Source organism: Homo sapiens, chromosome 1, assembly GCF_000001405.40.
Source record: "Homo sapiens chromosome 1, GRCh38.p14 Primary Assembly".
In the NCBI taxonomy this organism is placed as follows: Eukaryota; Metazoa; Chordata; class Mammalia; order Primates; family Hominidae; genus Homo; species Homo sapiens.
In genome coordinates this window covers 149,903,170-149,919,818 of record NC_000001.11, presented here as the reverse complement: position 1 = coordinate 149,919,818, position 16,649 = coordinate 149,903,170, and the positions used below count along the sequence as shown (strand labels likewise).

Below are 16,649 nucleotides of genomic sequence, written 5' to 3'. Positions count from 1 at the left end.
AGTGAGCCGAGATTGTGCCACTGCACTCCAGCCTGGGCGACGGAGCAAGACTCTGTCTCAAAAAAAAAAAAAAAAGTTAACTGGGTGTGGTGGCTCGTGCCTGTAGTCCCAGCTACTGGGAAGGCTGAGGCAGGAGAATCACTTGAACACCGGAGGTGGAGGTTACAGTGAGCTGAGATTGCGCCACTGCACTCCAGCCTGGGCGACAGAGTGAGACTCTGTCTCAAAAAAAAAAAAAAAAAGAAAAAGAATGTGTGTTAACCTGAAGACGGGTCAGCAATGAAAGTCTAGTAAAGGGAGAGTCCCTGAGGCCAGTCCAAGCACCATCCTGGAAAGCCGTCACATTCAGAGTAGTCCAGGAGTGCTGGCAAGGCTGCCAATAGCAAAGAGGTGGGGGTAGAAGATTGTTGCCAAGAAGAGTTTTCTGGACCCATTGGCATGGCTGCTTATTGCAGATGGCCAGATGCCATTAAAGATACAAATCCTCCAGTAATGTCATTGTGCATTTATACATTGACATTATGATTCTGATTTGGCTTCAGGGAGAGAATGTACTAGACATGTAGATATGAGTTTTCAGTCTGAGTGACAGTTAAATATTTATGATAAATTAATATTTATGTATTATGGCTTTATATTTCAGAAGATTGTGAACTTTGTTGGCATGAATGATTATTTCCAAGATCCAGCTTTGGAGTCTGCAAAGCCCAGGCCCGTGTCCCTGTCAGAGGTAAATTCAACCTGGCAAATGTTACCTGTGTGGTCTCTTCGGACATAGCCTGTCAGCCTTCTCCATGTATATATATCAGCATTCTGAAGCCTCCACATTTAGTAAGGCAGAATCACACGCTATTAGATCTGAGAGGGACCTGATGCAGTATCTAGTCCAAGCCCCCCTTTTCCAGATGAGAAACCTGAAGTTCACAGATGTGGAGAACTTGACCAAGAGTTGACAGCTTGTTAGCAGTGAGAACCCAGGTCCAAGCCCAGGTCAGTGCTGTCTGGAAGGTCCTGACCTTATCTGGCATAGACACATTCAGGATGTATTTCCCCAAATCACCATATTCCCTCTCACTCCTTCGGCAGGGATGGTCATCAAGTGTCACCAAGTGGCATGTCTTGGATCTCTGAGTCCAGGTTATTGATGCAAGAGCAAAGGAAAGATGAAGGGAAAAGCTGAAACAATTTACTTCTTCCTGCCCGGGAAGTACAAGTGTGTGGAGGGGAGGGGAGGGAGGTAGAGGAGAGTAAGAGAAAATGGAGAAGGGTATTGAGAGGATCCTTTTTGAGTCATTGGAGCAAATTAATGGAAGGGGAACTGTCCGGTTGGTCAGGTCTGTAAAAATCCCTCAACTTCCCCAGTACTTCTGCTACCACCAACTGAATGGACAGGATGAGGAGGTGTCCACTGTAAATAAGTAACCTGGACTGTTTTGTGAGGAAAGAGATGGAAGGAATCCAGGGGTCTCTGACTCTGGCAGTTCAGGATAGAAACCACACCTTGTTATCTCTGCTTTCTCTAAAATGTCCAGGTAAACTTGGAATAGGAGCACTCTGGATTTGGGAGACTGTTGTGAAAAAGGAGTTTGAGAGCAGTGGAGAAGGCAAGGGAGGTGTTTTGAAGGCAGCAAAAGCCCCTGAAATTATTGGGTCCTGCCATACTGAGACTGGGGTGCTAAGGAAGGGGCTGCCACATTCCCCATCTCCCTGTCTTCCCACTTGTCTTCCTAACATCACTGTTTTTTTCTTTAGTTCCTTCTATCTTTTACTAGGAAGGGCCTGGGAAGGGCTGGGTGCCATTTCCAGCTGTTCTTGTGACAACCTCCGGCCCTTTCATCATTTCTCCCCGTGCCCTGACTCCCTCCCCATCCTCTTTTCTCCTCTCCCCACCAATGGTCTCTCCCGATGCTCAGTGGCGCGGGGTAGGGGGGGGCGGAGGCGGGGCTGGAGTGGTGGAAGGGGGGTGGCAGGTCTGCATTGCCGCTTCCCTGGTGCCGGGAGCAGTCGCCGCTGCCGCCTCCGCCCGCGGCCGGGACCCCCGTCCTCGCCCGGGACTCCTTACCCGGGGAACCTAGACCAGGTGAGACCCCTTTCTCAGTCGCTCACCTCCTCCCCGCCCCTGGCAGAAGCATCTTTGCCTTGCCTTGCAGCCATTTTATCCTCCGATGCTTTGCTTATGGGGAGGGTGACGATCCCCTCTCTAGGGGTGAGGGGGGTTGGTGGGTTGGTGGTGGTTTGGGGATGGACATTTATTTCAGTTGTGCTCTTCAGGACACACACACACACACGCATATGTATAATATTGGTGAATGGGGAGGAGGGGTGTTTTTCTCTACCTTAACCAAGTCCCCACTATCCCCTTCGGAGATTAACGTGGTGGTGGGGTTGTGAGGTGGGATGAGGTTCCCTCAAACTCCTATCCCCTCCTCACCTTGACGTCCCCCCACCCCCAGGATGAATGATAAATGACCTTGGCTGGGGCTGGAGAATGGATGCTGCCTCAGTGTGCACGCCTGGACTTGGGTGGGTGGGGGGCAGGGGAAGAAGGGCAGGTGAAGGATGGAGGGAAGGGGAGTGAAGAATGGAAATACTGGGGAGACAGAGATGTAGAGCCGCCAGGTGTTGGGGGCATGGATGGCGGGGGCTGGCGGCAGTTGCTCCGGGGTGGGGGGAAGGGATGTTGAGTGAAGGTGGACACTTGTCTAGCAGCAGGACCAAGGGTGGAGGAGGTGCTCAGAGCAGGGATTTAGTCAGTTCTGGGGGCTTTTCCCTTATTCCGGAGCTGAGGCAAGATGGGGTGTGGGGGGGTCGCTGCAAATGCTGATAGGGGCGGTCTCTATGTCTGTGCATGCGGAGGTCTCTCCCTGCGTCCCCCTCTCTGCCTCTCCGTATTCCTCAGTGTGCATTCTCAGCTGACACCCTCATTTTTATCCCTCAGAACTGTGGGTGCTCCTATCTTCCTAACCTTGGTAGGATGTGGGGAGGGGAGGCGCAGTCTTGATGGTCCTGGGTGGGGGCTGAAGTTCGATGACCGGGCTGTCATGGGGAAGGGGTGCTCCCGCACCTCCCACATTCTACCCCCGCCCCCGCGGACGTTTTGATAAGTGATTGCTTTTTAATGACCTTGTCACCTGAGCTAGGAAGGCCTGGGGATCTGGGTGGACCCCAAAGTCAGGGGCTTTGACTGGGAGGGTGGGGGGTTCTGGACCCAGGGCTGGATGAGCTGTTCTGAAAGAAAGCATTTGCTCTGGAGTCCCCTGCCTGTCTCCACCCTCTGCAGAAAATCTCCTGGGCACATTTTTTCCTGTCAGGTGAAGTCAGCCAGCCTAGGACCTTGTAACCCTGAACCTTGTCTCCTTTAACCTCCACCTCTCCAAGTCTTGTCTCACTCCCCCAGGCTTAGCCACCCTGTGCTGTTTTGGGGGCTAAAAATAGCACCACTTCCTCACCAGCTCAAAGAATTTGTCTTCTTTCTTTCTCTCCTGACCTCCTGGGCTTGCTGGCCCTGAGGAAGCTGGCTGTTGAGACCTCATATCCTGCTGTGGTTGTGGAAGGCTTCCCTGCCCTACGTGCCCCTCTCAGGGGGAAATAGGGTCAACAAACATAGAGTATGGCTCCTGGTGGGTCCTGCCTCCTTCAGGGCTGGAGGGGAGATCCTGGTTAGGAAAGAGAGGAAAGCTAGCAAATTGCCATGCGCTGAGGGGATTCCGCAGTTCCAGCTCTTTCATGGGGGATGGTTGGGCCCTGAACCATGAAGAAAAGGTGACATAGGGGTCACTGCTTCTGGTCACCGTGGTCCACTGCTTACATCTGTCCTGAGGGGATAAGGCGCTGCTTGCCAGTGCTTCTCTCTGAACCACATAGCATTGCTTACCGTCTTCTACCAGGGCGTGTGTGTGTGTGTGCGTGTGTGTGTGTGTGTGTGTGTTTTAATGAAGGCCCTGGATGGGTGGGAGCACCGGAGGCAGGATATTTTTAGGGGGATGATTTCTGATCAGAATCTAGGCCTGCTTCCTCTGCTCCTATGAAGGAAGGGGGCTATCCCATGCCTTCCTCTGGAGAATGTCTTTTTTGGGGGGACACCCAAACCCCCTTTATTCTACATCCGCCTCCTACGCAATGCGGTGTTTGTGGACTCCTTCTTCCTTGACTCCTGGAGGAGGAGCAGAAAGGATTAAGGGGGATTAGGAAGGGAGGCCCTGGAGGGATGGGATGCAACTGTAGGCCTTAGAACCTCATGTTGGAAATGTATGCATTTGACAGTCATTTCCATTCTCACCCCCATCTGTGGAAAGGGGGCCTATCTATGACATTCTGAAGCAAGGTGGCAGTGGACAGTCATCACCTCTTTCTTAGCTTTCCATCTTTCCTCCACTTTACTTGGGTTCCAGGTCCCCCTTTTCTGGATCTTCCCTTGTTCTTCTGGAGGTAGTTAATGTGGGCCCAGCTACTGGAATTAGTTGAAACATAGATAGGGGTGTCTTGGGACTCTGTTTGCAAGGATGCTGGGCAACAGCATCTAAGTATGACCCCCCTGTTGTCCCTTGCTGCTTCCTGTTTCTTTCCCACTTTCAACATCATAGGAAGGAAGAAAACTAACATAGAGTATCTACTGTGAGATTACATTCTCACATCAACTCCAAGAAACAGTCTCCCAATTTAATTATCCCCAGTTAAAATAGATGGACACTGAGGCTTAGGGAGGTTAACTACCCTGACTGAGATCAGTTAGTAAGTGGCAGAGTTGGGATTTCAACTTAGGTCACCCCTAACAGTCATGTGCTTTGCCCTGAACCAGGATTCTCCTTGCCAGTGTCCCTTCCTGCTGCTCACCCTAAAGAGCATCCAAGATAGCTTTCATCTGGGGACCTTATGAGGTAGTATAGGGCATTTCACTATATTACTGTCACCACAAAATTAATAATTAATATTTATTCATCATTTTTATGTGCCAGGTGACTTATGGTAAGGAGCATAGATACATTATATCATTCGACCCTTACTTTCCCCTTTTTAAACAAGAAGAAACTGAGGCTTGGTCCCTTAGCTAGTATTTGCCAAAACAGGAAGTCAACCCCATGTCTTTGTGACTCTGGAAGCTGAGCATTTACCCATTAGACTATGTTGAGAGAAAATCCCTCCTTGTTGAAGCCTGTAAACATGGGACCTGAGGGAAGGACAGTGGAAGCCCCTGCCTTCAGATGCCATCAGAGGAGGGAAGGCCACAGGTTGGAGGGCTTGTCCTCTTACACATCCTCCTCAACTCCACCCCTAGTAAGAAACCCAGGCAAGACTAAAGAAGGGAATTCTGGTTTCTCATATTTCCTGTTTAGTTCTTTGCAGATTGGTGATAAAGCAAGGGCTGGGGTGGGTTTGGGGGTAGGTGACTGCGACTTTGGAGCAAATTCCACAGGCCAGGCCTCCAAGGTCAAAGTAAGGGGACTTCTATGTGAGTGACCCGGTTAGCCCAGATAGCCATCCCTTTTTAGTGTGTGGATGGGAGCCTAAAGCGAGAAGACCATCTCTGCACCACATGGTCCAGATGGGGCTCTGGGTTGAGAGGCTTTATACTGGCCTTCTTCACCACCTTAGGACTCACAACTTCCTTTTGCTGTCTGTTATTTTTTCTAGGTCTCCAGAGGCTTGTGGAAGAGAAGCAGGCGACCCTTCCTGAGTTATCCTGGCTTAGCCTCCCAATCTGGCTCCCCTTCCCCTTCCCATTCCCCTGCTCCCCCTGTCCCTTCCCCATCCACCCAACTGAACTGGGTATAGGTCAAAGCTCCTCTCCTTCCTTTTCCTTCCTAGGCACTCATTGGCTAGGACCTGTTTGCTCTTTTTTTTGTGCCCAGAGATACTGGAACACGCTTCATCTAAGTAACTGTGGGGAGGGGTCTTTTTGACTCTACAAGTCCTTGAGCAAAAAGCTGAAAAAGAAGCAGGAGGTGGAGAAGACCCAGTGAAGTGCCCCAAGCCCCATCATGGAAGAGGGCTTCCGAGACCGGGCAGCTTTCATCCGTGGGGCCAAAGACATTGCTAAGGAAGTCAAAAAGCATGCGGCCAAGAAGGTGGTGAAGGGCCTGGACAGAGTCCAGGACGAATATTCCCGAAGATCGTACTCCCGCTTTGAGGAGGAGGATGATGATGATGACTTCCCTGCTCCCAGTGATGGTTATTACCGAGGAGAAGGGACCCAGGATGAGGAGGAAGGTGGTGCATCCAGTGATGCTACTGAGGGCCATGACGAGGATGATGAGATCTATGAAGGGGAATATCAGGGCATTCCCCGGGCAGAGTCTGGGGGCAAAGGCGAGCGGATGGCAGATGGGGCGCCCCTGGCTGGAGTAAGGGGGGGCTTGAGTGATGGGGAGGGTCCCCCTGGGGGCCGGGGGGAGGCACAACGACGGAAAGAACGAGAAGAACTGGCCCAACAGTATGAAGCCATCCTACGGGAGTGTGGCCACGGCCGCTTCCAGTGGACACTGTATTTTGTGCTTGGTCTGGCGCTGATGGCTGACGGTGTGGAGGTCTTTGTGGTGGGCTTCGTGCTGCCCAGCGCTGAGAAAGACATGTGCCTGTCCGACTCCAACAAAGGCATGCTAGGTAAGACATGGGGGGCTCCAGCCTTATCCCCTCAAACTCTGGAAACCTCCTTGCTCCTGGAAATTGCTCTTGTCCTTACCACTGGGTTCCCTAGGACCCTGCACCCAAGATGTTCCCAGAGGGCTCAGGGTTCCTCTGCACACTCTTCCCTCACACACTCCCTCTTCTTGGCCTTGGGTCAGGGTGAAGTTGAATGTGACAGAGGGGCTTGCGGGAGGGCAGCTGGACTGGGGCTTGGGCCAGTGGTTGGGTGGTGGTCTGCTTCATTCTGCAGGAGGTGGCTGTGGTAGGATGGTCCCTACCATTTAATGTTTCTTCATAGCTTTCCCTCTGGTTATCCTGTTCCCTTTCACTGATTGGGGAACAAGAAGCCAGTATCCAAACTCCTTGGTATAAATGGGGAGAGTCAGTTTGGGGTGGTTGGGGGAGGGGGGGAGGGTCCTGGATCTTCTGCCAGAGAAGCTGGTTAGACTTTCTCTCACTCAGATGGGAGTTTCCAGGGGACAGGATGTAGTCTTTGATGGCCTTTCCTGACAGGGACTCTGAGGAGGAACCCCGTAGACTCACAGAGAAAGAATCGAGGCCTTACTCTGCCACCAAATTGCCATGGGGTCTTGGACAGGTCTCTTCTTCCTGGGGCTTGGTTTGGGCATGGGAAAATGCAAAGTTTGGAGTAGATGATTTTAAAGATTAATTCCAGCTTTGGTTTTATGAAGGCAGTGAAAAACAGGAGAGTTTTTGGACCAGAAATATTGAGACTGGAAGGAGTAAAGGATGGATTTTGTGTGGGAGATTTCCTGGGAAGATGAAATGAATTGGAGCCCCTTTCCCCAGGAACAAATGAGAGCTCTCCTGCTGCTTTGAGGGATCAAAGCAGGGAGAATAGAGAGGACCCTGGGGTGGTCTGTGATCCTAGGCACACCCATTCCTCCTTCAAAGTGAGCCAGGGGTAAAGGTGTCACTGTGTGTGTGTCAGAGTGAGAAATGAGACAGACCGAAGAGAGTGGAGAGTTTGCAGGTTCTCCCATATCTTCATTCCTGCCTTTGAACCCCTGGCCTGCAGAGATGATCTTCTATCTTTGCTTACACCATTCATTTTCTCTCACTTGCTCTAATCTCTGGGTAGACTTACCTTCTAGAAGTTTTTCAGATCCTTCAGCTCCCTCAGTGCTCATCTCCTGGGAGAATTAAGGTGTGTCTGCTCACACCCCCTCTGCCTGTTTTCCTCCTCCTTCCAGGCCTCATCGTCTACCTGGGCATGATGGTGGGAGCCTTCCTCTGGGGAGGTCTGGCTGACCGGCTGGGTCGGAGGCAGTGTCTGCTCATCTCGCTCTCAGTCAACAGCGTCTTCGCCTTCTTCTCATCTTTTGTCCAGGGTTACGGCACTTTCCTCTTCTGCCGCCTACTTTCTGGGGTTGGGTGAGTGTACACTTCCTAAGTCCCTTGAGGGCAGGACTGTGCCTTGGTCACTGTTGTATCTTTAGGGCCCAGCACAGTGCCAGGCACACCAAATGCACCTTAAATCTGTGTGAGTTGAACGGATGAATGAGTTCCTTTCTCCCCCAGCCATCTTCAGGCCAGCTCCTCCCTGCCCAGGACCTGTCTGCTGCTGTCCAGAATGCTGTTCCTTGGCCCACTCCTGAGTCCTCCACCCCACCTCTAGTTCCATTTTTGAGCCTGCCTCCACAAAGAGGCCTAGTGGGCCTCAGCCCCACCCCTGGGCTCCTGTGGACCCAGAGTTACCCCCTACCAGAGTCTACACATTTCCTGCATTACACAACAAACCTTGCTAACACCCACACCTGCCAGAACCCTGACGCCTTGTCCGCACTGCCCCTTCACTTTTGCAAGCATGGCAGGCCCGCTTACTCTGCTTCAACTCCAAGCTCCTTTCTGGCCATTCCCACAACATCTGCCCTTGGAGGCTTTTGGCTTGTCTTTTTTCTCTGGAGATTTATTCTCTTTTCTGCAATTACTTTCCCGCCCTTCCAACTCTGTAATTCATTTTCAAGATTTAAGATTTGCTCTTTCCCTTTCCCTGAGACTCGCTTGCCTGTTTCCCATGGTCCCAAGGATGGGTGCTTGATGGCTGGCCCACATGGGAGCTTGTAAGGCTTTATGTGTGAGATGGAGTCTCTTCAAAAGCCTGGAAGACAAAAGGGGCTCGGGGTCCAGAGCAGTGGGGCAGGGGATCAGGACTATGGCCATTTGCTAATGCTGAATTCTTGAAATGCACTTCAGGATTGGAGGGTCCATCCCCATTGTCTTCTCCTATTTCTCCGAGTTTCTGGCCCAGGAGAAACGAGGGGAGCATTTGAGCTGGCTCTGCATGTTTTGGATGATTGGTGGCGTGTACGCAGCTGCTATGGCCTGGGCCATCATCCCCCACTATGGTGAGCAGCCCCCGGAAATCCACCCCAGGTTATCTCCCTCCTCCCTCTTCTTCTGTGCTCCCTGTGGTGGGTTCCCCCAGCCTCTGGCCTCTCTGCTGATGCTGTCACTTTCTCCCTACCAGGGTGGAGTTTTCAGATGGGTTCTGCCTACCAGTTCCACAGCTGGAGGGTCTTCGTCCTCGTCTGCGCCTTTCCTTCTGTGTTTGCCATTGGGGCTCTGACCACGCAGCCTGAGAGCCCCCGTTTCTTCCTAGAGGTGATGGGGCTGAGCTGCATGGGGTGGGGTGGGGTGCGGGCTGTGGAGTGTGGACGGCAGCAGGGGCTTCTGTGTTCAAACACCAACTGGAGTTTGATTTGATCCTGTTTGACTGCCTGCCTTCCTCACAGAGTCCACTCTCCAGGGGACTTTATCTTGCATTCTTTGCCTTGGAATGTGTCCCTGAGGGGTTCTTGGGTGGAGAAACCAGGGGACCTCTTTACCCATGGATGACTTAAGATTTTGCAGGGAAGGGCCTTGGCCCTGTCCTGCATTTACAGCTCAAGAGACATTCCCACCCCCTATACCTTCCCCTCCTAACCCCAGCAGGATTAGGTCTTTGACTACATGCTTGCCCATCATTTCCCTTACCTTTGGTTTTTACATTCCTCTGTACTATGGAATTCCCAAGACCTGTGCTTGCCTTTTTCCCCTGGACAACACTCCCCACCCCCAACCCGCAGCTCTTGCCCAAGTCTGATTGTCTTGCTATACCTCAGCTTGGGGCTCTTTCAGAGTGGTGAGTGCATGCCCATAGGTCAGGGCTTGGTGGTGGGGTTGAGGGCTGGGAACCATTTAGTGTCCTGTGACTACAGAAGCCAGGTGGGAGGGAGGGGGTCTATAACTCTGGGTCAGGTAGGGGCTGACTTGGATGTGGGGATTGTGTCTTTGGCTCTAGAATGGAAAGCATGATGAGGCCTGGATGGTGCTGAAGCAGGTCCATGATACCAACATGCGAGCCAAAGGACATCCTGAGCGAGTGTTCTCAGTAAGCCACAGCCCTCCCGACTCAGACCTCCACGCCCTGCAGCCCCAGCCCCTACCTGGCCCCTCTCTGAGTACCCCCCACCTCAGACCACACTCTACCGTAAGGAGATTTTCAGGGTATCATATCCACCTCCTGCCTCCCATTTTGCTAATGCAGGGGAAACTGAGGCGCCTGGCCGATGTTGGGAAACACAGAGTGTGTGACTGCCCACCCCTTCTCTTGACCCCAGGTAACCCACATTAAGACGATTCATCAGGAGGATGAATTGATTGAGATCCAGTCGGACACAGGGACCTGGTACCAGCGCTGGGGGGTCCGGGCCTTGAGCCTAGGGGGGCAGGTAATGGTGGACGGGGTGGTAGATAGAAGGGAGTGGGGGAAGTGGAGAAGAAGGCAGGACTGAAGTCTATGTGTGTGGGTGATGGGTGAGCTGAAGGGAGGTGGGAGGGCAGAAAAGTGGGGATCTATGGGTGCTAGAACTTAGTATAGTCAAGGTCTGACTTTGTCTGGTCCCCTGTAGGTTTGGGGGAATTTTCTCTCCTGTTTTGGTCCCGAATATCGGCGCATCACTCTGATGATGATGGGTGTGTGGTTCACCATGTCATTCAGGTGAGGAGATGGGTGGGCTGGGTGATGTGTGGTGGTTGTGGTGGTGTGTGGGCTGGGAGAGAGGTGGGGAGAATGGAGATGCAGGGGACAAGCGATGAGGGAAGGTGCCATGCAGACCCCCTCTGATCCTGCAGCCAGCTCCTCTACTTCGCTAGTTCACTCAACAAACTTGTACTGTAGGCTGACCAGGATTCAGTTTCTATTCTGTGCTGGGATGAAACAGATGTGGTCCAAGGTCCTCCTGGAGTTTATGTTTTGGTTAAGAAGCAGGACGATGAGGCTCGTAATCCCAGCACTTTGGGAGGACGAGGCGGGCGGATCATGAGGTTAGGAGATCGAGACCATCCTGGCTACGGTGAAACCCCGTCTCTACTAACATACAAAAAATTAGCCGGGCATGGTGGTGGGCGCCTGTAGTCCCAGCTACTCTGGAGGCTGAGGCAGGAGAATGGTGTGAATCCGGGAGGCAGAGGTTGCAGTGAGTCGAGATCGCGCCACTGCACTCCAGCCTGGGTGACAGAGCGAGACTCCGTCTCAAAAGAAAAAAAAGAAGTGAGACGAAACTTGCTATGAAGCAGGGTGATGAGAGAAGGGTGGGGGAAGGGCAGTGGGAGCACTTGGGGCTTGGGCTGGGGTGGGGACCTAAGTCCTCAAAGGTGAATGGGAGTCAGACAGGTGGAGTGGGGGTGGCTGGGGTGGAGAAGAGTGTTTTTGGCAGAGGGAAAAGCAAATGCTTGGGAGGTAAGAAAAAGTATAGTGGCTGCTGTGCGAGACCCTGAAGTCCCCCAGGAGCGCAGCAACTGTTGAAGGGAGGAGCAGGGAGAAGCTGGTGAGGCTGGAGAGGAGCAAGGTCCTAACAGAGGTTGACTCCATTTCTCCCTTGTTCTGAGATGATACACATTTCCGTTTTCTCCTCTGCCTGATTCTAATCTCTGAGCCTTGTCTGAAGCCCTGTTGTCTGTTTCCATTGTCCTTGACTCTTCAGCTACTATGGCCTGACCGTCTGGTTTCCTGACATGATCCGCCATCTCCAGGCAGTGGACTACGCATCCCGCACCAAAGTGTTCCCCGGGGAGCGCGTAGAGCATGTAACTTTTAACTTCACGTTGGAGAATCAGATCCACCGAGGCGGGCAGTACTTCAATGACAAGTATGTGGGGACTTTTAAACTTCACTTCTTCCCTGTTCCTTCTACCTCGTCTCTTTTATGAGTCTAGGGGTTCAAGACAAGACATTTGGGGGGCAAACACTTGTGGTTTCTTCTCAATGCCCAGCTTCCCATTACTTCGCTAAAGAGTGAGTCTTGGAGGGGGCATGAGGATGACGGGGGAGTGTCTTTCACCATCCTGGCCTTACAGGTTCATTGGGCTGCGGCTCAAGTCAGTGTCCTTTGAGGATTCCCTGTTTGAAGAGTGTTATTTTGAGGATGTCACATCCAGCAACACGTTTTTCCGCAACTGCACATTCATCAACACTGTGTTCTATAACACTGGTAAGGCGGGGTGGCTGGTGGGTGTCAGACCAAAGGGTTGGGTGGACCTTGATGAGAAGGAACCTTTTTCATTCACTATCTTAGGGTTCTCAAGCTGAGATCCCTGGACCCCTGTGGGAAGGTGGCAGAGGGGCCTGATAGCTACCACCAATAATTCTGAAAATCTAATGGATGTTGGACATTTTCCTGTAATAGAATATCTGACAAAAACATCAAGTTTATTTGCCTTTGGCTGAAATTATAACTCAGTGAGGTAAAATTAATGCACTTTTGAAGAAGGTAAAAATCATCCAAAATAGCATTCTTGGGAAAAAGAAAAACAATCAATAAAAGGGGTATTTGGTGCGGATCATTGCATGAATCCACTCCTTTTTAATAGTGATTCTCAAACTTCAGTATATGCACACGAAATGCTGGTTTTGTGAGCTAGACTGAAATTTCCCACCTCATACTGGGCGAGCTTTTTCCATGTTGCAGGAAAACAACAATGGATAGGACTTTTTATTATTTTAAATGTTTTTCTCAGAAAAATTTCCTAAGTCCACGGCATCGCTACTGCTTATAGTCAGCTAGCACGGACAGAAAGAATGAATAAGCAGCTAAGACTATTAATGGGAGAACTTGGACAAAGTCACACTGTTGGACAGATGATGGTCATTTTCTGCTCTAAAGATCCCTAGTTCCCATGGTGATGTTATTTGATGTTTTGTGATTAGCACTGTGAATAATTTTGAGAGCCCCTCCTACTAACTTTCATACATGCAGAGCCCTGAGCCATAAGCCGTAACAGCCTCCCTCTCCCATCTGCTATGACTGCCTGCTTATCTTGGCCTTTGCCCACAGACCTGTTCGAGTACAAGTTTGTGAACAGCCGTCTGATAAACAGTACATTCCTGCACAACAAGGAGGGCTGCCCGCTAGACGTGACAGGGACGGGCGAAGGTGCCTACATGGTATACTTTGTGAGCTTCCTGGGGACACTGGCAGTGCTTCCTGGGAATATCGTGTCTGCCCTGCTCATGGACAAGATCGGCAGGCTCAGAATGCTTGGTAAGGGGGAGAGGCTGAGTCAGATCTGATAGTAGGGGCCAGGGGCTGCGGGAGGCAGTCAACAGGCTTCTCACCTTGGGCTGTGGAAGAGATTGGTCAGAGAGTTCCTCTCTCATGTTTTCTGTTTAGGGGGTGCTGCAGGATGGGGTGGGGACTGGCACAGAAGCTTCTCTGGGGGTAAAGGAGGTAAGCAGAATTGCAAGTGGTTAGGGCACAGGCTTTGAGGTTATGGGTTTTGAATCTCAGCTCCACCACCTGCCTCTGGCCTCTGGCAAATTACCTCTATGAGCCTGGTTGTTTCCTCTGCAAAATGGAGGTGATAATAGTACCTGTGTCATAGGGTTGATGTGCTAGATCAATGCATGTAAAGCATCAATTGCCTTGGCCCATGGCTGGCATTGAATAAATGATGGTTACTGATATTATTAATAAACAATTATAAGGGAGGTTGAGGAGGAGTGAAAAGCCTTCCTTTTGGATACCTTGGTTGGATACCTTCGGAACAAGTCTCATCCTGGGCTATCTGAAAGCCAGCTGATGGGACAGGGTGGGCTGTGGGTGGGTTTCACTGTGGCCAGGCTCATGTTGCTCTCTCCTCTCCTGGCTCCAGCTGGCTCCAGCGTGATGTCCTGTGTCTCCTGCTTCTTCCTGTCTTTTGGGAACAGTGAGTCGGCCATGATCGCTCTGCTCTGCCTTTTTGGCGGGGTCAGCATTGCATCCTGGAATGCGCTGGACGTGTTGACTGTTGAACTCTACCCCTCAGACAAGAGGTAGTTGGAATGTGTTGGAGGCAGGGCAGTGGATTCAGGGGAGGGGTGGGGTGAGGAAGGAGGGCTGAATGGGAAGAGCATCCTTAGGGGTGAGAGGATATACATTTCCATTTTCTCCTCTAAAATCTGGTAGCTTTGGCCGGGCACGGTGACTCATGCCTGTAATCCCAGTGCTTTGGGAGGCCGAGGCAGGCAGATCACCTGAGGTCAGGAGTTTGAGACCAGCCTGGCCAACATGGTGAAACCCTGTCTGTACTAAAAATACAAAAAGTTAGCTGGGTGCCTGTAATCGCAGCTACTCAGGAGGCTAAGGCAGGAGAATTGCTTGAACCCGGGAGGTGGAGCTTTCAGTGAGCCGAGATCGCACCACTGCACTCCAGCCTGGGCAACAGAGCAAGACTCCGTCTCAAAAAAAAAAAAAAAGGAAAAAAAAATCTGGTAGCTTTTGTATCTACTCCTCAAAGTCTTAACTGTTAACCTCAATTTTTGGTCTCCTTTCCCTTTGTCTCTCAATTTATTTACATTCCTGGTGTACATCCTTTACCTCTCTGATCTCTCCAACCTTCTCTCTCCCTCTTGGACACTGCCTGCATCTTCCTGGACTTCACTTCCCTGCCCTCCACTCTTCCTTTGCCTCCCTCCTGTACCTTGCGCCGTGCTGCACTGGGGGACTCCTGAGCAGGACCACAGCTTTTGGCTTCCTGAATGCCCTGTGTAAGCTGGCAGCTGTGCTGGGGATCAGCATCTTCACATCCTTCGTGGGAATCACCAAGGCTGCACCCATCCTCTTTGCCTCAGCTGCCCTTGCCCTTGGCAGCTCTCTGGCCCTGAAGCTGCCTGAGACCCGGGGGCAGGTGCTGCAGTGAAGGGGTCTCTAGGGCTTTGGGATTGGCAGGCACACTGTGAGACCAACAACTCCTTCCTTCCCCTCCCTGCCCTGCCATCCTGACCTCCAGAGCCCTCACTCCCCACTCCCCGTGTTTGGTGTCTTAGCTGTGTGTGCGTGTGCGTGTGCATGTGTGTAAACCCCGTGGGCAGGGACTACAGGGAAGGCTCCTTCATCCCAGTTTTGAGATGAAGCTGTACTCCCCATTTCCCACTGCCCTTGACTTTGCACAAGAGAAGGCTGAGCCCCATCCTTCTCCCCCTGTTAGAGAGGGGCCCTTGCTTCCCTGTTCCAGGGGTTCCAGAATAGGCTTCCTGCCTTCCCCATCATTCCCTCTGCCTAGGCCCTGGTGAAACCACAGGTATGCAATTATGCTAGGGGCTGGGGCTCTGGTGTAGACCATGGACCAAAAGAACTTCTTAGAGTCTGAAGAGTGGGCCTCGGGTGCCCTCTCACATCTCCTGTTGGATGCTGGGGGAGAAGCAATAAACCTCAGCCCTCTGGCCTCCACTTTCCTCTCAATTTGGGCTGCAAATATGAAGCCTGAATTTTATGAAATTAGCTTTCTGATTCTTATTTATTAATAGATTAAGTTCTGAGGCAGCTCCGCAGGACTGTGTGTGAATGTGTATGTATACTTACATATGTGTGTGCATGTGCCATGGGGCGGGGGGTATCACTATACTGTCCTCAAATATAAGCCAAGGGTAATTTCAGCGGATGCACACACAACCCTGCCTCCCACAGTTCCTCCCCTAATCTGGTTTCTGTGTTGAGCCTGGGATGGAGGAGCCCTAGGCCAGCCTGGGATAAGAGTCCCACAGTCTAGGGAGATCTGAGGGCATCCGACAAGGCCCATCTCCTTCCCTCCTCAAGAAGCAGAGGCCTCCTCTGGAGTGAGAGGCTCCACCCACTACAGCACAGGCGGGAATAGCACAGCTGCCCTCCCATGCTCCCTACCTGTCCCCTCACAGGGAGGGGAGCAGGGGAGGGAAAGAAACCAGGCATCTGGTCAAACCAGCAGATCAAAAAGCACAAAGAGCTGGGGCAGAGGCAGGAAGCAGGGGCCCTCCTGGCAGCTCCTCTGAGTGGGGAGAGGTTGGGCAGTGAGTGAGGGACCCCTAATGCAGGGACTAGAAGCCTCAGTTTCCCCATTTTACCCTTCCACACAATAGCCTCTGTAGGTTAGGCTGCCCCATCCCACCCTACTCTGTGTGGCTGCTTTCTTTGGTGCCCTCCCCTCACCCCACTGTAGCTGTGACGTGTTGTAGTTTTTAGATGTTTGTAAAATGTTTAAAAAAATGTTAAAAGGAAAAAAGTGAAAATAACAAAAAAGAAAATCAAAATTCACCTTCGTCATGCTGCGTCCAGTGCCCCAACCCTGTGGTCACTCTCCCCATTTTGTAACACTGTACCAGGTGGTGACTGTTTAACTCTTTGGTGTCTGTGCTCAAAAGACTGCCTTCTCCAGTGCCCAGTGTATGAGTGTGTGCCCTGTGCCCTTGTCCCTCACTCCCCACATGCTGGACGTAGCCCTCTTCCTCGCACCCCTGGGAGGGACCCATCCATCTCCCTTGCTCTCCTGGGGAACCCTAAACCCAACTCTGTTGATGTGAAAAATGCAGTGAAAAATATTGACGAAAAATAAAACGGAAACAAATCCTCAAAATACAAAATGGCTATACCTGCTTCTGTGACTCTCCACCTACATCCAATTCTCCTAACAGCCTTGGAGGGTAAAATGGTGAGATGGACTGAAGGTCAGAATAACATGGTGTACCAGATTTACTTCCTAAATTGGCCTCTCTACCTTGATCTTTCCCC

General features: G+C 51.6%; 1 protein-coding gene across 4 annotated transcripts, besides 3 other annotated features; it reads left to right on the top strand.

Annotated features, from left to right (window-relative positions):
- On the top strand, window positions 1,975-16,501 carry SV2A (synaptic vesicle glycoprotein 2A). 4 transcript variants are annotated; one of them, NM_001328675.2, is made up of 13 exons: window positions 1,975-2,080; window positions 5,850-6,600; window positions 7,839-8,019; window positions 8,842-8,993; window positions 9,116-9,249; window positions 9,929-10,018; window positions 10,248-10,358; window positions 10,539-10,627; window positions 11,613-11,777; window positions 11,986-12,119; window positions 12,963-13,169; window positions 13,780-13,939; window positions 14,622-16,501. In NM_001328675.2, exons 2-13 carry the CDS (start codon window positions 5,979-5,981, stop codon window positions 14,803-14,805), a joined length of 2,229 nt encoding a protein of 742 aa, NP_001315604.1. In that variant the 5' UTR covers window positions 1,975-2,080; window positions 5,850-5,978; the 3' UTR covers window positions 14,806-16,501. The 4 variants fall into 4 exon arrangements, with proteins under 4 accessions (NP_001315604.1, NP_001315603.1, NP_055664.3 ...); NM_001328674.2 differs by having other exon boundaries at window positions 5,806-6,600; NM_014849.5 differs by having other exon boundaries at window positions 5,632-6,600.
- Window positions 2,062-2,131: a silencer, noted in NCBI's record as "silent region_1290". NCBI's record gives its function as "represses an Ori minimal core promoter by ATAC-STARR-seq in GM12878 lymphoblastoid cells {active_cell/tissue: GM12878}" and the evidence as "EXISTENCE:reporter gene assay evidence [ECO:0000049][PMID:35858748]".
- Window positions 8,641-9,140: an enhancer, noted in NCBI's record as "H3K4me1 hESC enhancer chr1:149882231-149882730 (GRCh37/hg19 assembly coordinates)". NCBI's record gives its function as "activates a minimal SCP1, AML or CMV promoter by ChIP-STARR-seq in naive and primed H9 embryonic stem cells {active_cell/tissue: H9 hESC(naive and primed)}" and the evidence as "EXISTENCE:reporter gene assay evidence [ECO:0000049][PMID:30033119]".
- Window positions 9,141-9,642: an enhancer, noted in NCBI's record as "H3K4me1 hESC enhancer chr1:149881729-149882230 (GRCh37/hg19 assembly coordinates)". NCBI's record gives its function as "activates a minimal SCP1, AML or CMV promoter by ChIP-STARR-seq in naive and primed H9 embryonic stem cells {active_cell/tissue: H9 hESC(naive and primed)}" and the evidence as "EXISTENCE:reporter gene assay evidence [ECO:0000049][PMID:30033119]".